The sequence below is a fragment of the Homo sapiens genome, chromosome 1, assembly GCF_000001405.40.
Source record: "Homo sapiens chromosome 1, GRCh38.p14 Primary Assembly".
Classification (NCBI taxonomy): Eukaryota; Metazoa; Chordata; class Mammalia; order Primates; family Hominidae; genus Homo; species Homo sapiens.
Genome location: NC_000001.11, coordinates 216,401,327 through 216,423,770, shown reverse-complemented (window position 1 = coordinate 216,423,770; position 22,444 = coordinate 216,401,327). Strand labels below are relative to the sequence as shown.

The 22,444-nt window shown below is 35.6% G+C and overlaps 1 protein-coding gene across 2 annotated transcripts in view; it reads left to right on the top strand.

Annotated features, from left to right (window-relative positions):
* The window catches only part of USH2A (usherin), an 800,558-nt gene continuing 778,436 nt past the window's right edge, over positions 323 to 22,444 (top strand). For both annotated transcript variants that reach the window (NM_206933.4, NM_007123.6), the window contains exons 1-3: positions 323 to 557; positions 1,231 to 1,919; positions 5,092 to 5,257. In NM_206933.4, the coding sequence (NP_996816.3) occupies positions 1,435 to 1,919; positions 5,092 to 5,257 (651 nt within the window). In that variant the 5' untranslated portion in view covers positions 323 to 557; positions 1,231 to 1,434. The remainder of the gene's footprint in view (positions 558 to 1,230; positions 1,920 to 5,091; positions 5,258 to 22,444) is intronic.

The following is a 22,444-nucleotide window of genomic DNA, read 5'->3' as shown; positions in this document are numbered from 1 at the left end:
ACAACTGAATAGTCAACCGAAACTTCTATCAATGGGCCAAGCTTTGGGAGCATCAATATATAAAAGTTTAGAATTCCATTTTGTATCCTCTTCTCCCCCAAAAAGAAAGAGCACTGGAAATTATTCCTTGTGTGGTGTTTAATAGTGGTAGATCATTTTGATTAAGGAATTAAATGGATTGAGGTGCATGAGAGCAAGAAAGAGGAGGGGCAAGAGGGGGGATTATAGGATAAGGTGTACTGCTACTTTAAAATTATGTATGCATGATCCCATCCAGGTCCCTCCCACTGCTTGAGGTACCAGCGGAAAGCTTGGGCAGCTCAGTTCCAAGAGGGCCACCAAGCAGACCACGCTCTGAGCTTCAGGTAACCAAGTGTTTGCTCTGCAGAATACTTTACCTGGGCACCCAAGTCTTCCTTCCAGCATTCCTGCTGCTACAGCCTATTTGCTGAGTAACCAGGGGTTACAGCAGCGTTGCCAGGCAACGAGGGACAGCGGTCCTGTTGAAGAGCCATTTGTCACACTGAGGGGACTGGTTGAAATGCAATAAAGAAATGGTAACTCAGCTTATTTATCAATACAATTACTTGCACAGTATTAGGGATCCATGTGTAACCTACAAATTCATAGTCATATGAGGAAACACAGAAACATTTTGCTAAATATTAAAGCATAGGACAGACAGATGGTGTTGGGTTTCTAATCAGCTTTACTCTGAGCTTAAAGTTGCTGCACATGCTGGGATAAGGGGAAAGGCCCAAAGTCCTTTGCCAGCTTTATTTTGGGCATCTGTAAGTTAGCTCTGGGTTACAATGTACAGTGCATGTGTAAAGAAAATCTACAAGATTCTTTTCCCTGTTAAGTAGAGCTGGTAATGCCATTGCTAATTCCCTGGGGTGAAGTAACAACACAAAATTATTGTATGTGTAATATATTATTAATAATTATATATATATAAAACACACACATATATTATATAAATATTTATGTATAACTGGTTATAAATATTACTGGTTGTCCTGTGGACTTATAAAGTGCTTGATTTGCCCAATGCAATCAAGAGATTTACCAAAAGGATGAGTATTTTACTCTGAGCACTGTGCTTCAAAATGTTTTTTGAGAAGTTCAGTAGTGTTGCTTCTAGGAGCTCAAAGTCCTCAGGCCTGGGATGAGCTTCAGTTTTAAAGGTGCAGCAGCTTTCCCTTGACGCCCTACGTTTTTGATTCCCAGATACCAGCAGCTACTCATGTCTTCGCCATTGCTAAGAACGTCGTTGGTATTACCTTACTCTGAGAACGTGTCTGCAGTTTCCAGAAAATGGAGTATCGCAACATCACTTAAAGTACCCTGCTTCAAAGTATTGCTGGCAAGTGGCGTGGGCCTGATTATTTATTTAGAAATGCTTTATCAGGAGGAGAATGCTTTTTTGTAAACATGAATTGCCCAGTTCTTTCATTGGGCTCTGGCTTCTTGTTTCAGGTCATTGAAATGTTGATCTTTGCCTATTTTGCTTCAATATCCTTGACTGAGTCACGAGGTCTTTTCCCAAGGCTGGAGAACGTGGGAGCTTTCAAGAAAGTTTCCATCGTGCCAACCCAAGCAGTATGTGGACTCCCAGACCGAAGCACTTTTTGTCACAGCTCTGCTGCTGCTGAAAGTATTCAGTTCTGTACCCAGCGGTTTTGTATTCAGGATTGCCCATACAGATCTTCACACCCTACCTACACTGCCCTTTTCTCAGCAGGCCTCAGTAGCTGCATCACACCAGACAAGAATGATCTGCATCCTAACGCCCATAGCAATTCTGCAAGTTTTATTTTTGGAAATCACAAGAGCTGCTTTTCTTCTCCTCCTTCTCCAAAGCTGATGGCATCATTTACCTTAGCTGTATGGCTGAAACCTGAGCAACAAGGTGTAATGTAAGTAGTAGTGTAGGTATAAGCTTTCATAGGTCCCCAAAACCAGTAGTAGTGAAGATCATTTCAGCCTGAATTCCAAACCGGAAGTGAAGGCTATATAGAATTCATGGTATTGAAGACTAACTCTTCCAGTTGTTTCCCCAATTAAAATTTTTTTCTCTTCTATGGATGAAATGGACCATGAAAAAAAATGTGAAAATAGTTTATCAAAGGCAAATGTGTTTATGCAGGAATCATTTATTTTCTATAGCTTAGCGCGACCTTTGGTCTTAGCCTTCAAAGCCTAAAGAAGACTCAGAGTGAGTTTTAAGGCATGGAAACTTGTAATTAATACAAATAATTAATATTTTCAAAATCTTGAACTGGGTTTATATAATCAACATTTCCTTACTAGGGTATAACATTTTCATTAGGCAGATAGTTCTCCCAGTCCTTGGGACTGTTTTCTTCATCCTCGTTTCCCCAAGAAGAGCTGTTTGTTTGACTCATGGAAGATGTTCAGTAATATAAATTGAATATATAAATAACCCTCCATCTCTAAAAACATATAGCTTTTAGTTCTTTATCTTGTGGTATTTTCATTTTCCAATTAGTTAGGAAATATGTAGGTAAGTGTGAGAGATTCTCAAAAGCTTTCATGCTGTTCATCCCAGAGAAATGCCTTCAATGAGTCTGGGTCTTATTACTGCCATTTTTTGTTATTTAATCACCAGTTTTTCATTCTGTAATCTTTTCTCAAGCTGATATCTAATGAGTTTCTTCTAAATATTTATTGCCAACCTGGAGATTTTAATATACAGGACAGTTTTGAGGAATTTTTGCTTATCTTTTTTCTTCCTAGAGGGCTTTTGGCCCTTTCTCTTGTGACATTTTCTGTGTGTGACAGCGTTGGCTGGATATCTAAAAACTTGTGAAACAAACCAGAAAAGGATTACAATCTCATAAGCAAATAGGACTTAAATGTTTTTGGTGTTTAGTTTCAATTTGCCAAGTGAAAGTTGGCATGTCTTCATTTTGTTTTAAATTTGGATTAATCACAAAATTAATCACAAACCATTCCCATTTCTACATCTCTCCTCAAAGAAAACCTTGTTTTCTTACTGTTTGAAATTCTAGTAAATTCAAGCTACTCAGTTTATATAATTAACATCTGAAGAGTCTTAAAACATTGTCTTTTGACAAATAGGGCTAAGATAAAATATCCTTCTGAGCTTGTAGGGACATATCTGTACCAAATTCATCTTCTATTGACATCATTTTGTATAAATAAGACAGAGAAGTATTTACAGGGTTGGAAGAACATGGTTAATGGTTTTGAGAGTTCCTTGTATCAAGGTCGTTTCCATTTTCAAAATTAAAATACCTTTGGGAATTGGGGGAATTTCGGGGTGTTTGCACTAGATAAGTAAAACAAACAAAACATGGATTATCCAATTATTGTTTATTCAGGAGCAGAATAAATCCAGTTCCTAAATATTTTGCTACCTGCCTTCCTCTCACATTTATTATCTACCAAAGCTAGTATGTTTACAAGCAAACAAAATAGCAAGGAAGATAATCAATAACATATTAAGAAATGCATTTTCAGTAAGCTTGGGAAAATAAGTCTGCATTTGGTAAATACATTCTTGAGTAATGGTCGAATTCTCACTTGTAGATTTAAACAGAAGAAAAATGAATAGGGGCAAACTCTTTTCAGGTTAAGACCTGATGGGTAGGGATAAAAACAAATTCACTTCAGTAAATTAGAAATATTCAACTACTGAAGGGTTAAAAATATAATTTGCAGTAGAATTTATATAAAACTTTTATTTCTACTTATATAAAACCTTTATGTCATCTAAATCTATTTGCCTAAATTAAAAATATACTTGCACTCATAACTTTATACCAAATATACATACAAAATATAGTAAAATTGTGACAGTAAATGAGGGACTATTAGTGTTTTACAATCTTATTCTTACCTCCCAACTCAGGAAAAAAATAGATGCAAGTGATAGATGCAAGTGAGAAGAAATTATGTGTGAAAAACATGCCCTTTAAGGAAAGCTTTAAACCATCTTTAGCAGTAATTCTTGATTGGCTCAATTTTATACATTTGCCTCTCTGATACTTCCTACCAAATTTGATCACAAACTCATCATTTTTTGAGAGACTACTGTATCCTAGGTGTTTGTGTGTGTATCCTCAGAATACTCATGATCTAAATGATCTAATGGAGTGTACAGATGGATGAGTGTTATTACCTAGGCAGCACAGTGTGTTAAGTGAGCACAAAGTGAGACCCCTCAACCGACCCTGAGCAGGAAGAAGGGTGCCAGGACCAAGCATAATCATTCAGATACCAAAGCTAAGTAGGAGGTAACCAGGTGAAGAAGAGACCTCAAGGTCTGAAAGGTGTGTCACTCTAATAAGGGTAGAGATAACTTAAAATAATTTGATAACTGCCCTGACACAAGACCTGGAAGTTTTCTGAAAACTCTTCTAGTTTTTCAAAATCTTATTTCACTGTGTTCTAGAAGGCTGAAGGACCTTTCACCTCAGATATTTAACATGATCTCAGTACCTCAGTTGGACTGTACGGTCATGGAGAGGTAGCCAGTCATCTTACAGACACTGGCTTTGGCTTTGTGCCAGTTGATGATGGGGTGAGTAGAGACTATAGCTGTCCATTCTTCATTTCACCATGGGAATTAAATAGAGTGATTCTGACTTCAGGGCTACCAATTTAGAGCCTTCCATGGACACTAAATTTGCTTTACATTAAAAAAAAATTTTTGCACTGATGACTTAATACTCAAGCGGCCTGTAGTGTGTTGTACCACTTCCTCTAAAAGAAATAGCAGGAGAACTAATGAGCCAATAACCTAAATGTTAGTTTTGCAGAATGATTCAACCACTTTAGTTTCCATCATGAATCTCTAATGAAGGGTGCTGAGGCTCTGGGGAATATATTGTAAATAAGAATTCTATTTTTTATTGAAATAAAGGGGCTTCTTCATTGGAATAAAGCTTTCATTGAATATAATGACATTCAGGCACTTATTCATAGTACACCATTTTGAGCAAAGTTTGAGGTCATTTTAACACCACTGTAACTGCACAATACCTTAGCATGTCTTTTTGGTTGGATGCTGACCTTTTCTCTCTTTTCCGGTTGCTTCCTAAGGTGTGTTATAGAAAAGACAGTAGATGGGCAGATTGTGTTCAAACTTACAATATCTGAGAAAGAGACCATGTTTTATTATCGCACAGTAAATGGTTTGCAACCTCCAATAAAAGTAATGACACTGGGGAGAATTCTTGTGAAGAAATGGATTCATCTTAGTGTGCAGGTGAGTAAAATAAAAAATATTTAACATTTGGTTAAACACAAGGATTTGTCTTCCTTTCTCTCTTTTAAATGGCATCTACTCACAAAATCTGCAGCAGTATCTTTTAGATTTCAGGTGTGTATAAATGACAACTAAAGAAGAAAAATATTTAAATGACCTAATGATGTATCTCTTGATATACTAGCATTTCCTCCCCCAAAATTGCTGTAAAAGCTCTCACAGAAACTTAAAGACAATGCTATCTGTAATTGTAATATCCTCAGAAAATTTTTGTTTTCTTGGGTTCGTATATTCTATTTTGTTTAAAAATGTGTAAGGGCTCATTTGATGTCTGGTACTAATTTTACTAGTCATGGATGTATTAATACCCCAGCTTGATTTTTACATCTGTCTTTCTCAGCAGCTGATGATGTGAATAAAATTTGTCTGTTGCATTAAAATGGTGACCTTAGAACTAATGAACTTTACACTTGAGGCACTCAAAAGGTGTTATATTATTATTTTAGTTGTCAACCACAGTTTGTATGAGCCTTAGAAGCTGCTAAAGGCTGAGAGAGCTGTGACATGTCTGGTATTTACAGTCTCCAGAAGAGAGGCACAGTTCATCCTTTTGTTTTTTCAGGGCACTGGAATGGCCCAATACAGTTAAAGCCACACCTGCCTTTCAAACCAGGTGTATTAGTCCATTCTTCCACTACTATAAAAAATACCGGAGACTGGGTAATTTATTATAAAGAAAAGAGGTTCAATTGGCTCATGGTTCTGTGGGCTATACAGGAAGCATGATTCTGGCATCTGCTCAGCTTCTGGGGAGACCTTAGAAAACTTACAATCACGGCAGCAGACAAAGGCTGAGCAAGCACTTCATGTGGCCAGAATAGGGAGGAAAAGAAAGAAAGGGAGGTACTTCACACTTTTAAACCACCAGATCTCATGAGAATTCTATCAGGAGACTAGCACTAGGTGGATGGTGTTAAAGTACTGATGAGAAAACGTCTACATGTTCCAATAACCTCCCATCAGGCCCCACCACCAAAGCTGGGGATTACAATTGGACATGAGGTTTGGGTGGGGACACAGAGCCAAATCATGTAACTTGGGGTGCTGGGTACCACAGTTTCCAGTATGAGCTCTCATATGAGCATCCATCCAGTGGCTCATGTGAACCTCATTTGAACTAGAGGACATTTACATCCTTGTTCATTTTATAAAAATTATCTTTGATTTCTCACTTTTTTTTTTTTTTTTAATCTTGAAGCAGATAATGAGTGTGCGTCCTCAGAGGGTCTTGATAATTGTTCATTGTTTTGGCTTTCAGATACTAAGATATGAGTTTAGCAAATGTGATTGGCAGGGGTCAGAGTTTTCATACACAACTAGGGTTGAAATGATACACAAAGGGGACGTCATGTCTGACGTCAAGCCTTGTGCATAGGACATGATGGTTTCTGATTCTCAATGCTTATTCTCCATGTGTTCAGTAGTTAACAGATAGGAGACCAATTTGTCCTAGTCTTGAAGTTTCCATTGTCTTGAAGTCTCCATTCTGCCCACTGACCAGTCCTACAGAATTGGGTTTTAATATTAAAAACGTAGAAATAGAAACTTTTAAAGACAGTGCCATCTTTGCAGAAGATGCCAAATAGATATGTTTGTTGCATATTTTTGTATCAACAATGACAAAAAAATTATCTTTACTTGCCTTTATTTTGTGTTATCTGTGAAACTGTGCCATGTTTTGGCAGGCAGTAGTACATTAAAAGCTTCACAAAGAAAGTTTAAAATCTAAATGCAGAGCGGTAACCATGACTGAATTACTCCCTTGGGGATAAAATGCTCTTAGAGTGCCTACTGAAATCAGCATTATCATTTCAATACATGTCAAATATGAGTCATTTACTAGTTTAGGCAAAATTTCTTCATGAATCTTTAAATCTTTCTCTTCTTTCAAGAAAAGGTTAAAGTACTTATGATTTAATGAGACTGCTTTATTTCATAACTGTTTGACTATCAAGAGAAAACTTGTCCTTTTCGATTTGTACACTCTTTTATTTATTTTTTTGCATAAGTTTTAAACTATTCTGCATTTTATATTAAAACTACAGAACTAGGCAGTCACAAAATGTTAGAAAACCATTCAGATCTGTCATTTAATCATCTAGCACTTATTAAATATTTGAGGGGTATGCAGCATTATGGGAATCTGGATTTATTCAAATGAAAATTAAAGAGCAATTATTTACTCTAAAATGGAGCTCTATATAAGGTTCCTTTATATTGGACAACAGTCTGAATATGTTTAAGGTATTATGAAATTTATAAAAATCCATATTATAGATTTTTTTTTGAGACAGAGTTTCTCCCTTGTTGCCCAGGCTGGAGTGCAATGGCATGATCTTGGCTCACTGCAACCTCCGTCTCCTGAGTTCAAGAGATTATCCTGCCTCAGCCTCCCAAGTAGCTGAGATTACAGGTGCCTACAACCACACTGGCTAATTTTTTGTATTTTTAGTAGAGAAGGAGTTTCACCATTGTTGGCCAGGCTGGTCTCGAATTCCTGACCTCAGGTGATCCACCTGCCTTGGCCTCCCAAAGTGATGGTATTACAGGCATGAGCCAGAGTGCCCAGCCTAGATTTTGAAAAAGGAATGTACTGATTACTCAAAAGTTGTTATAAGAAATAATGGAGGCCAGGCGCAGTGGTTCATGCCTGTAATCCCAGCATTTTGGGAGGTAGAAGTGAACGGATAGCTCGAACCAGGAGTTCGAGGCCAGCCTGGGCAACATGGCAAAACCTCATCTCTACGAAAAAACACCCTAAAAAAATTAGCCAGGTGTGATGGTGCGTGTCTGTAGACCCAGCTACTCAGGAGGTTGGGGCTAAAGTGAAAAGATCACCTAAGCCTGGAAGTCAAGGCTTCAGTGACCCATGATCATGCCACTGCATTCCAGCCTGGGCGAAAGAGCAAGATCCTGTCTGAAAAAAAAAAAAAAAAAAAAAAAAAGTGACAGGAAGGACAGGAGATTAGGAGTTGGGAAATCTGATTTAGGTTATGCTACTCTGTAGTCTTAAGAATAAAATTTATAGGAATCCATATGATAGTTGTTTAATAAGGAATGTACTAATTGCTTAAACGTTGTTATAAGAAGTAATGGAAGCTGGGCACAGTGGCTCACACCTATACCCTGCCCGCCTTGACGTCTCAAACTGAGTCATTTGACTCAGTTTTCCTATTTACATAAGAAGATTGAACTAGATGAACAAAATGAGGGCCTTTTGAATTCTTCATAAACAAGTAAGTGGAGTGTGGAGTGTAGCACAAGTCATTAAAGTATGGCAAGCTGTTGAGTTGTGTAGGGTTATTTAGGTAGTAAGTGACAGAGCCAGCCCCATTAACCAATGATCAGTCTTGTGCTTTTTTTCTCTTCTCCCATGCTGCTTGGCATTTACATAAAAACATTTTTTTGCTAGATTTTCTGGACAAAATATAGAGAAATGTAGATTGTTACTATTCCATTGTATAACTGCAAGAACATTTCCAGAAAAAATATTTTAGTATAAAATGTAACTTACTGTTGCATGATTATATAATGCATCTAAACTCCATTTAATTTGGGGATTAGGGACTTTTATCATGCTGGGCATAGGACAGAACAAATGATTAATAATCTTGTTTAGTCAAGTTTCAAACTACAAACCTGCACTTTATGTATATGTGGATTTTCACCCATCTTCCAAATGGCCACAAATTGATGAATTTATATAGTGTGTGTGTTTCTGTGCATGTGAAAAAATAAAACATACAACTCTATTCGTGGAATGGCCCAGAAACCAGAATTTTAGTTCGTTGCTTATAGTGATTTTTTACTGGTTAGCTTATACCTGGTGGCATAAAATTAATTAGCAGATCTCAACTTATGCTTTATCTCAGACAGTTCACTTGTATCAGCTTTCCATCAGTAAAATCAGAATTCTAATTTACCAAAATCAGAAAAAAAATTATTTTAAATAATTAAATATCTGGGGGAAAAGATGTCAGGAAATCCAGACATACCAAAATTGGAAATCGAATTTCCTAAACAAACAAATAGACAATATGCTCAATATTGCTATGGTAATGAATCTCACAGCTTTTATTCCAAAACTAGCATTTTAAAGTGTCAATCTGTTGGAAAATGATTAGTGTTTAAATTAATATTCATTTATGGACTTGAATCTGACAGGATTGCCAATTGAAATTTTACTTTGGGGTTTAATATATTGGCTATTTCAAATTATATCAAGCTAAAATTCATTGTGTCATTTTTTATACTAAAACTAGAAAAAATCAATTCATAGTTTTTATTATCATATAGGGAACACTGATCATATTAGCAAAATTTTTAAAGCTTAGTTTTCATATTAAATCAGCACATGCTGTAGTTATAAGATTTCCTTTGGTTACTCTTATAAAAGTTTTGAAATATGTAAAAAAATTTACTTTAGCATTTCGTTATGGATTGGTAGGTAAAACAATATGGAAATAAGTATATGTGTTTAGTGGCATTTCATTTAAAAGTAAAACTTTAGGGTTTTCTTTGACAATATATTTTGCCTTAAGCAGTTCCACACATTTTATAGCCCAAATAGTGTCAAAGAATCATCAGTATAGTCATCCTTCTAGTAATTATGCAGAATTGCAGTAAAACAATTACTACGATTTGAAGCTGATGAAATACTACAGCTGTGGAACCAAGAAATGATTTAGCATTGGGCTTGTTCACATTTTCTATGCTATTTTCAGGGCTCCTTGATACATTGACAATTCAAGAGCCATAGATGACTCTAGCTACAATAGTGTGAAAAAGAGCAGTTCTAATATGATACAATGAAGAAAAAAATGCATGGGTAAATAAAGTTTTAGGAATCAATATATGAAGGATAGGAGTTTCATAATCACAGTTCATGAAGTATGCTCTTTTGATTTATGTATTCAATCTAAGAAAGAAAAACTATTGATAGTTCTGGAGGAAAACAAAATGCAATTTAACCAACATTTGTTAGAATAGATAAACCAAGTCTCTCAATTAATCTCTGAACTGTATGCCCATGTGCACACTTTATAAAGGTGTTTCCATGTTCCTATTGATTGAGGGAACATAAAACATCCATGTCACCTTATGGAAGCCTCCTCATTCAGTTCAGTAAGCTTTATGGCATAGAATTGTCATAGGAATACCATCCCAGCCCCACTCCCATTCTAAGAGAATCTCAACCCATATTATTTCTTTAATATATCATTGCATTTAGCTCTGACTCTGTGTGTGTGTGTATGTGTGTGTAAGTATGCATGCATATGTGTGCTAAATGTTTCTTTGTGCAAAGCCTTCTCTTTATATCTAGCCAGCTGGGTTAACAGCTCAAGTTAGTTGAATAGTTTTGGGTTATTCAAAATAAATTAAGATCAATAGAATATAATGAAGTTTTTCAGAACAATCAGTTACAAATTATCATAGCTGCTATTAATCATTGATTTATGTGCACTATATTAAACATGTTACATATTTGCAGTTATACAATGAAATAGTGACATGCTTGTAACATGTTTAATATAGTGTTAATAATAGCTCTGTGCCACTGACTTATATTATCTCCATGACAGAGATTTTAAAAAATTAGCCTTAGGAAATTTAAACTACCTGCCTACATTTATAGTCCCAAGCTTCTCTGACCTTAAACTAAAAGTAATAACTTGCCATGAACATGGGTCACTGAGCAGATCTAAATAATAGTTTTTAAAATTCTCCAAACCAAAAAAAAAAGGCACAGAATCCCAAAAGAACTGAAAACATATATTTATAATGTAAATATAATTTTGTATATTTATACATATTTGTAATATAAATATTTTCAATGCTTCAGATATTTACATGATTTATACAAATAATTAAAGTCAATATATTTTTTAACTATACCCCTCATTGATACAAGCAATTTAAATGTACAACAGAATGTAATTTTGTATAAAGTTCTGCGCAATATTTTCATGTTTTATGGCAGTTGCGATAGACTACAATGGCTTAAAGAAAGAATATTTCCCTTAAGCCAGCCTGATCACCTGACCCATGCCTTATAGAATCAACCCTTATTACAATAAAATACAAAGAAGGAAGCACTTCCTACTTTATTATGGAAGAGGTAAAACCATCCAAGTAAAAAAGTAATTATTCTCTGTACGTTTTTTGCATGTGATTTTAAAATGCAATATTTAAGCAGAAGGCAAGGCTTTAATTCTTGACCTTTTAGTAAAAAATTGTGCAACCCTGGGAAAACTATGTAACTCCTCAAAATGTTAGGATACCCATTACAAATTGGAAACAAACAAACTTGGCCTATTTAGCTTACACCATAAATTTGAACATATAAAGAAAATATTGTCTACTAAAACACTTTATAGCCTATAACTTCCTGCTATGAAGGAGCTTACAGTCTCTTCAGAGGATAAGCAATCAAATAATTACACAAATAAAGGCAAAATTATAATTGTGGTAAGTGCTACATGATCACATGAAGAATGATTTGGTCAAACCACTGAAGTCAAGAAAAGCTTCCTTGAGTAAATGTTATTGAATATGTGTATTAGTTTTCTAGGCCTGTACTAAAAAATTATCACAAACTGGTGGCTTAACACAACAGTTAATTCATTGTTGAAGAGTTCTGGAGGCTAGAAAGCTGAAATCAAGTTGTTAGAAGGGCCATGCTCTTTCTGAAACCTCTAGAATCCTTCCTTGTCTCTTCCAGCATCTGGTGTTTGCACAGACACCAGAGTATGTGATTGTGCTACCTCCTGGGGTTTGTCTGCCCACAGCAAGGCCGGGAACCCAGAAAAGAAAAGAGGAGTGCCCAGTGTAGCCACCACCCACTGCATGAGAAACAGAGCTGGCAGCAATCCTTGATGCTCCTTAGCTTGTAGCTACATCACTCCAGCCTCTGTCTGCATTATCATATGGTCCTCTCCTCTGATCGTGTGTGTCTTCTCTTCTTATAAGGACATCAGTTGTACTGGATTAGGATTCTTCCTAATTCGGTAGGACTCATCTTAACAATTACATCCAAAAAGACACTACCCAAATAAGGTCAGAGTCACAGGCACATAGGGTTAGGGCTTCAGTATGACTTTTGATGGGACACAGTTCAACTGATAGTAAGATTTATTCAAAAGAATGCATAGGATCCAACTGGGCAAAGAGAATTGATAAGAACATTCCATAAATGCATAGCAAATAGTGTAAATGCCCTTGTATAAAAAGAAATATGTTACATAGACTAAAAAACCAAAGTGGTTAGAGTGTCGCTGGCAAAGTGGGACATGGTGTGAAATGAGGACAGAACAGTAGGAAGAGGCTATGTGTTAAAGAGAATCACTGGATATGTTAAGATTTTTTTTTTAAATGGAACTCTATTGAACTGTTTTATGTGAAGGACAGGAGATGAGGGATGAGGATAAGGAAGGAAAACGTATGATATGCACAGATTATTTTTTCCTAAAGATCACTTTGGCTGCAGTGAGGGAGAATGGTTTGCTTGAAGACAAGTGTGAAGGGTTGTTATGGTATTTTCATGGACCAAGTCAGATGTAAGTGTTACTTACTTACAGCATGAAGACAATAGTGAATATGCAAATGAATGGTCAGCTTTGAGAGGAGTTTAAGAATTAAATTAAAGGGCTTGTTGATGAAGGAATATGTAATATGAGGGAAAGGGAGTTGATGAATCCCAGCTTTCTGGCTTATGTAATTGCAGGTACAGTGATTTCTTTTTCTCAAATAGAAATACTGGAAGAGAATCAGATTTTGGATGTGGAGCACATATGAATTAGATTCCAGTTTAGGGTAATAATTCTCAACTATAGAAATTATTAGCATTATTGAGAAACTTTAAAAAATATTCTGATGTCCATATCCCTTTATGTCTTCATTGGTCTAGGTGGGGCGCAGGCATTATTTCTTTCTTTCTTCCTTCCCTGATGGATTTAAAAAGGTGTAACAAAAGAAAATATCAGTCTACCATTGATGAGCATTTAGGTTGGTTCCATATCTTTGCTATTGTGAACAGTGCTGCAACGAATATACATGTGCATGCGTCTTTATGATAGAATGACTCAGATTCCTTTGGATATATACGCAGGAATGGAATTGCTGGGTATAATGGTAGTTCTGTTTTTTTTGGTCTTTGAGGAATTGTCACACTGTTTTCTGTAATGGTTGAAGTAATTTACACTCCCAACATCAGCCTATTAAGCATTCCTTTTTCTCTGCAACCTCACTAGCACTGTTGTTTCTTGACTTTTTAATAACAGACATTCTGACTGATGTGAGATGGTATCTTTCATTGTGGTTTTGATTGACATTGCTCTGATGATCAGCGATCATATGCTTGTTGGCCACATGTATGTCTTCTTTTGAAAAGGGTCTATTTATGTCCTTTGCCCACTTTTTAATAGGGTTGTTTTTTTCTTGTAGATTTGTTGAAGTTTGTTATAGAGGCCAGCTATCAGACCTTTGCCAGATGTATAGTTTGCAAAACTTTTCTCTCACTCTATAGGTTATCTGTTCACTCTGTTGATAGTTCGTTTTGCTGTGCAGAAGCTCTTTAATTTAATTTGATCCCATTTGTCATTGCTTTTGGCATCTCTGTCGTGAAATCTTTGCCTGTTCCTATTTCCTATGTCCAGAATGCTATTGCCTAGATTGTCTTTCAGGCTTTTAGTTTTGGGTTTTACGTTTAAGTCTTTATTCCAACTTGAGTTGATTTTTATATATGGTATAAGGAAGGGGTCCAGTTTCAATCTTCTGCATATGGCTAGCCAGTTATCCCAACATTTATTGAATAGGGAGTCCTTTCCCCATTGCTTGTTTTTGTCAGCTTTCTCAAAGATCAGATGGTGGTAGGTGTGATGGCCTTATTTCTGGGCTCTCTATTCTTTTTCTTCGGTCTATGTGTCTGTTTTTGTACCAGATTCATGCTGTTTTGCTTACTGTAGCCCTGTAGTATAGTTTGCAGTCAAGTAATGCAATGCCTCCACCTTTGTTATTTTTGTGTAGGATTCTCTGTCTATTTGGGCTCATTTTTGGTTTTATATGAATTTAAAAAGTTTTTTTCTAGTTATTCCAAGAATGTCGTTGTTTGTTTGATAGAAATAGCACTGAATCTGTAAATTGCTTTGGGCAATATGGCCATTTTAACGATATTGGTCCTTCCTATTCATGAGCATGGAATGTCACACAAACCAATGATATCTGTTTGTGTCATCTCTGATTTATTTGAGCAGTGCTTTGCATTTCTCATTGTACAGATCTTTCCCCTCCCTGGTTAACTGTATTCCTGGTATTTTATTCTTTTTGTGGCGATTGTTTCACCTGCTTCTAATCAAATCTATTTAGTAGCTGTTATTAAACTGTGTAGCCATTAGTATACAGTAGTACTCCATTACCCTTGGCTTTGCTTTCTGTTGTTTGTCACCCACAGTCAACCACAGTCTGAAAATATCAAATGGAAAATTTCAGAAGTAAACAATTCATAAGTTTTAAATTGGGTGCTGTTCTGTGTAGTGTGATGACATGTGAGGTGGTCACCATACCTCCTGCCTGGGAGGTGAAGCATCCCTTTGTCCAGCAGCTTCTCCATATTGTCTATGCTCCTAGCCCTTCAGTCACATAGTAGCTCTCTTAGTAATCAGATCAGCTGTTGCTGTATCACAGTTGTAACTTGTGTTCAAGGAAACTGTATTTCACTTCTTAATGGCCCCAAAGTGCAATAATAGTAATGCTGGCAATTTGGCTATGCCAAGAAGCCATAAAGTCCCTCTTTTAAGTGAAAAGGTAAACACTCTCAACTTAACAAATGAAAGAGAAAAGATCATATGCTGAAATTACTAAGAACTTCAGTGTAAGAATGTATCTTCTGTCCATGAAATTCTGAACAATGTATTGTTATAATTATTCTATTTTGATAGTTATTGTTAATCTCTTACTGGGCCTAATTTATAAAAATTAAACTTTATCTTGGGTATGTATGTATAGGAAAAAACATAGCATATATTGGGTTCAGTAATATCCACGGTTTCAGGCATTCACTGGGAGTCTTGCAACATATCCTCAATGGATAAAGGGGGACTACTGTATGCGCAATATATGTATACGCTTAAAAAGAGTTTTGTTTAGCTAGTGTGTGTAAGAAGATTATCACAAGTCACACTGTAGTGTTTGCCTTTTGCCAGTCTGAATGTTATCATCAGTCTAATATTTTATAGCAAAGATTTAAGTTCATTGAAAACTTCCCTATGGAAACACTTCCAATCAAGACCTACAGCAAGCCATGAATAAATTAACATTTAAACATGAAAACTGATATTTGAAGAAGAATTAGCAATTAATAATTTCTGCTAGAAAATGGTGGTTTCTCAGCCAATAGCTATAAATTGTATAATATATGTAAAAGGAAATATATACAAATATCATATGGGACATATATCACATATACTACTAAAATTGAAAATTGCTATAAATAGAAGACTATGTTCCAATGTCCACTGATTTTTTTTTTTTTAACAATCTCTAGTCTTGAAAATGCCACTATGGTAATTCTGTCAAATTTGTAATGGTTGGGATTTGATGGTAGTGCTTTTGAAACCTGTATTATCTAATGGAATTGTCATTTATATTATATCATTTTCACCTAAAAGCCAAATACAATAAGACTTAAATTATTTTTGCTTTTTTTGTGGATAGTCATTTTTGTGCCCAAAGGGCTAACTGATGCCTTCAGTTATACATGAACAATTCGCACTAACGTCAGGAAGAACAGTGTGCATATAACCTAGGGCAGAATTTGGTCTATGGAATGTATCACTCAGTAGTGGAATGGAGATTATGACTTTATTTAAACATGGACTTGAGTAGTTTTATTTTTCCTTACTGTTTCCCTTGGCATTTCTTTCTCTAAAGTGCAACATTCAAAAGTATTCTATGCAGCTGTAGTGTCCTGGATGCATAATAAGGGCATATGTTCAAGGCAAGTTTAAATATCCACATAAGCCAAAGACAGAGTAATTAACATTAAAAAAATTAAGACAACTTTTCCAAGAATGAAAAGCTTTAATAGATTAGCTAATTTTAGAATTATTTAACAACAACTGTGAAAAATTATTAGTATTTACAAATATGTATATATAAATATATGTAATGTCTTATGTTAGACAGCAATTTCATTCTGCTCTCTAATGATTACATGACATACTTCTGAAAAAAGTCAAACAGTGTGTTCTAGAAGGACAAAGAAATAATTGGTTCAGTTTTGCTTATACTTAGTGTTCAATTGTTATCAACCTGGGGTGGGAGGAAGGGAAAGAAAGAGGGAAGGACAGAAGAGAGCAAGAAAAGAAGGAAGGAGGAGAGGAAGGAGAGATGGAAGTCATGTGACATAGCTAGGGATTTGGGGCAAAATTCAAGACCCATGTTTTCCTTGATGGAAAGCCAAGGAACCTGAGAAGGAGAGTCAGCCCATGCCAATTTCACTGTGGTAGAGGTGACCAAGAAAGTTTACATTATGGATGTATAGTAGGTAATTTTAGGTTGTTTTTGTCTGGGATATAAACCCATTGTGTTATTCCAGTTATTTGGCCAAAATGTTCCATGCAACCATTTTGGAGTGCTAGCACTTTAGGGAATTTATAAAAAGGGGTGGTGTTCAGTGTCTGGGTTGAATACAAGGTAGGTAGAAAAGGACAATCAAAGGAATTAGCTGCAAATGAGATGAAATCTATGGGAACATATATTGAGAAAACTAGTGACCATTATAATTTAATCCTCTGAAATACCTGCAACAATCTGAGAACAAGGTAGGTGGCAAGATGCATTTATAAATATTAAAGAAACACAAGACCCCATACACTTTGAAAACTGGGGAGTACCGAACTTGGAGAGGTCTAGTATAGGTAGTGCTTGTTGGTTTGCATATTTTTAAAACCACTTTATTGAGGTCTGATTGACATAGAAAAGTCTGTCCATGTTGCATGTATGCAACTTAATGAGTCTAAAGATAAATATATGCCCATGAAAGTATCACCATAATCTGTGGCATAAACATATCCACCTATTTGTTTATTCTTAATTAAACTTTTTCCTGAGATAATTGTAGGTTCACAGGCACTTGTGAGAAATAATACAGAAGTCCCATGTACCCTTTACTCATTTGTTCTCATCAGTAACATCTTTTATAACTATGGTACAATATTACGACCAGGATATGGACATTAATATAACCAATATTATTCACATTTCCCATTTTTCATATATTCCTATGTGTATATGTTTAGATCCATATGATTTTATTAAAATTTTATCCACCACAGCCGAGTTGCAGAAAAGTTCCATCCCTACAAGGACACCTCAAGCTGCCTTTTTATAACCATGCCCACTGTCTCCCTTCCCCTACTGCTGCCACAGGTGTCCCTAACTTCTGGCAACCACTCACTTGTACTCTATTTCTAAAATTTGGTCTTTTCAAAATGTTGTATACATGACATCACACAATATGTACTCTTTTGGGATTGTTTCTTTCTTTTTTACTCAACATAATTCCGTGGGGATTCATTCAAGTTGTTAAGGGCATTGATAGTCCACCTTATTGCAGCATAGCATTCCACGGTATGTGGGTACCATGGTTTGTTTAACCCTTCACCCATTGAAGGACATCTAGGTTAATTCTAGTTTTGGGTTGTATCAAACACAGTTAAAGCATTCGTGTGGATGTTTTTGTTAACATACATATTCGTTTCTCTGGAATAAATGCTCAAGAGTGCAATAGCGTATGGCAGTTGCATGTGTGTGTTTTAAGAAACTCATTTCCAGAGTGGCTGTTCCATTTTAGAATCCCACCAGTGATGTATGAGTGCTCCAGATTGTGCACATCCTTTGTAGCATTTAAAATAAAGGCTACATTTATTTTACTATTTAAAATAACATTTTAGCCATTCTGATAGATAATATATCACTGTGGTTTTATTTTGCATTTCTTTAATGACTAATGGTGTTCAGCATATTTTCATGTGCTTATTTACCATTCATATGTCCAATTCGGTGATGTCTCCCCATGTCTTCTGCCCATTTTCTAATTTGATTGCTTATTTGTAGCTTGCTGTTTTTATTCTTTTTACAGGGTTTTGCTGAGATTGATTAGGTCCAATTTATCAATCTTTCCTCTTATGTATTGTGTTTTCCATGTCAAGTCTATGAAGTCTTGCCTAACCCTAAATCCTGAGTATTTTTTCTAAAAGATTTTTTTTATTTTATATTGTTAAATTTAAGTATGTGTTTCAGGCCAGGCATGGTGGCTCATGCCTGTAATCCCCACACGTCAGGATGCTGAGGTGGGTGAATTGCTTGAGCCCAGGACTTCGAGACCAGCCTGGGCACCTTGTCTTTACGAAAAATTGGCTGGGCATGGTGCTGTGTGTCTGTAGTTCCACCTATGGGGGAGGCTGAGGTGGGAGAATCAGTTGAGCTCTGGAGTTTGAGACCAGCCTGGGCACCTTTTCTTTACAAAACATTGGCTGGGCATGGTGCTGTGTGTCTGTAGTTCCACCTATGGGGGAGGCTGAGGTGGGAGAATCAGTTGAGCTCTGGAGTTTGAGACCAGCCTGGGCAACTTGGTGAAACCTCGTCTCTACTAAAAATACAAAAACAATTAGCCAGGCATAGTGGAGTGCACCTGTAGTCCCAACTGCTCAGGAGCTGAGGAAGGAAGATCACCTGACCTCAGGAAGTTGAGGCTGCTGTGAGCAGAGATCATGCCACTGCACTCCAGCCTGGGCAACAGAGTGAGACCCTGTCTTAAAAAAAAAAAAAAAAAAAAAGCCTATGTTTCACTTTGAGTTAATATTTTTTTAAGGTGTGAGATTTGGTTTTGAGCAGTGGATGTCCAAATAGCCCTTAGTTGAAAAGGCTATATCCTTCCTTCACTGAATTGCTTTGGCACATTTGTCAAAAATTAGTAGAAGATATTTATGTTGATTTATTTCAGAATTCTATGTATATCCTTCCACCAATTCCACATGTTCTTGAGTACTGTGAGCTATAATATCTAGTAGAGCGACTCCTTCTACTTTATCCTGCTATTTCAATTACAAAAAATAATAAACCTTTTAGGGCCTATGATTTTCCATATAAATTTCACAATAAGCTTGTTGATGTTTTCAAAATATCTTGTTTAGATTTTGATAGGAATTGCATTATATCTATAGATGGATTTGGAGTGATTTGAAATCTTTTACTATATTGAGTCCTCTAATATATAAACATGGTGTAAGTATCACCATTTAGGTCCTCTTTTATTGGCATTTTGTAATTTTTAGCACATACATTGTATTAGTCTGTTCTCACCCTGCTATAAAGATACTACCAGAGACTGGGTAATTTATAAAGAAAAGAGGTTTAATTGACTTGGTTTCACATGGCTGGGGAGGCCTCAGGAAACTTACAATCATGGTGGAAGGTGAAGGGAAAGCAAGGACCTTCCTCACGTGGCGTCAGGAGAGAGAAGAGTGAGGTGTGAAGGGGAAAGATCCCCTTATTAAGCCATCAGATCTCGTGAGAACTCACTCACTATCATGAGAACAGCATGTGGGAAACTGCCCCCATGATCTAATCACCTCCCGCCAGGTGCCTCCCTAGACACGTGGGGATTATGGGGATTATACAGTTCAAGATGATATTTGGGTGGAGACACAGCCAAACTATATCATACATCCTGCACCTGTTTTGTTGAGCTTACCCATAAAGTGTTTCATTTTCTTTTTGGTGATTGTAATTGGTTTTGTGTTTTAAATTTTGGCTTCTGCATGATTATTGTTGGTATATAGCAATGTTATGAATTTTCTAGGGTGATCTTGTATTTCAAAACTTTGCTGAACTCACATTTATAGTAGTTCTGGAAATTCTTTATTTGTTGGAATTTTCTACATAGACAATCATGACATCTGAATTTGGAGCAGTTTTTTTAATCTTTCCAATATGTAGTTTTTATTTCTTTTTCCTTACTGCAGTGACTAGAATTTTTAGTAGTATGTTGAATAAGAAAGGTAAGAGCAGAGATTCTTGCTCTTCTTGTTCCTAATCTTAGGAAGAAAAAGAGTTCAACTTTCACCATTAAGTATGATGTTAGCTGTAGATTGTTTGGGTAAGTGTTCTTTATCAAATTAATGAAGTTCCTCTCTATTCCTAATTTCTTGGAGTTTTGAGTATTAAATATTGTCACAAGGCATTTTCTGATTCAATTGATATGATTATATGATTTTTCTTCTTTAGTCTATTAATGTGGTTGATTACACTGATTGATTTTCAATTGTTGAACCAACCTTACATACCTGAAATAAATCCTACTTGGTCATAGTATACAATTATAGTATATGTAGTATACAATTCCTTTTATATAGTGCTGAATTGATTTGCTCTTCTTTCTCTAGTTTCTTGAGGTAGAAACTTAATGTTTTAAGATCCTTCCTCTTTTCTCATATAAGTATTAGATTTAGCTTAGTGTTGTAATTTAATGTGTAATTTAATTTAGTATTTAATTTAGTTTAGTGCAATAAATTTCCCCTTCCACGCTGCTTTAGCAGCATCTGACATATTTTATTATGTTGTATGTTTGACTCTTGGACAAAATGAGGGCTTGGGGTATTGACTCCCGATGGAGTTAAAAATTTGCATTTAACTTTTGACCACCCCAAAATGTAACTACTAATAGCCTACTGTTGAATGGAAGCCTTACCAATAAGATAAATGGTCCATTAACACATATTTTGCATGTTATATGTTTTACGTGCTGTATTCTTATAATTAAATAGAGAAAGAAAACATTGTTAAGATAATTATAAGGAAGATAAATATATATTTACTATTCATTAAGTGGGAGTGGATCATTATATAAGTCTTCATGCTCATTATTTTCACATTGAGTAGGCTGAGGAGGAGGAGAAAGAAGGGTTGGCCTTGTTGTCTCAGGTGGCAAAGGCAGAAGAAAATTTGTATATAAGTGAATCTGTGTAGTTCAAACCTGTGTTGTTCAAAGGTCAGCTATATTTTCATGTGCATTCAGTTCTATGTTTTTGAAATTTCCTTTGAGGTTTTCAAAATTTTCTTTTACAACTTTCTTTTTGACTCATGGGTTATATAGAGATGTATTGTTTAGTTTCAAATAAATTGGAGATTTTAAATATTATAATTCTGTTATTGATTTCAAATTTGAATCATTTTCAATCAGAGAACACATTCAGTGTGAATTCAGTTCTTTAACATTTGTTCAGGATTTTTTAACAGGCCAGAATGTAGTCTATCTTGGTGAAAGTTTCACAAGTATTTGAAATTAATGTGTATAGTTTGTTTTGTGTTTACACACGCACACAAACACAGATGCATACACATATAAATCTTCTGTTATCTTTTTATTTCTATTTAAAGAACTTCTTTTAGTCATTATTTAAGAGTAGGTGTGAAGAAAACCAATTCTCTTATAAATAGAACTAAGTACATCTACTTTGTATACTTTTCTTGAGTGATTCTATATTGTAATGATGTCCTTTTTACTAGTTCTATCAATTGCTGAGAGTTTGCTGTTGACGTCCCTGATTTAATTGTGGGCTTATCTATTTCTCCTTTCAGCTGTATCAGTCTTGCTTCATGCATGTTAAAGTTCTGTTGTTAGGTGCATACATGTTTAGGATCATTAGGTCTTTCTAGTGGAGATATCATTTTATCATTATGTAATGTCCCTCTTAACCTCTAGATATTTGGTTTGTTCTGAAATCTATGCTATTTGATAGTTACTAGTTATTCCTTTTTTCTTTTGATTAATGTTTGCAGATATATTTTTCTGATTACTAATTTCAACTGACCTGTGTTGATGTCCATGAAGTGAATGTTGTACAGATAGCATATTTTTTGGATACTTTTTTAAAAATTAAGTTTATATTCTAATACACTCTGCTAATCTCTGTCATTTATTTGTATATTTAGACCATTTACATCTGAGATTCTTACTGATATGCTAGCCTTATGTGTGCAATTTTATTTTTTCTATTTCTTGTCTGTTGTGGGTCTCTGCATTTCTCTTTTCTGACCTTGCTGTAGGTTACGTGAACACATTTTAGG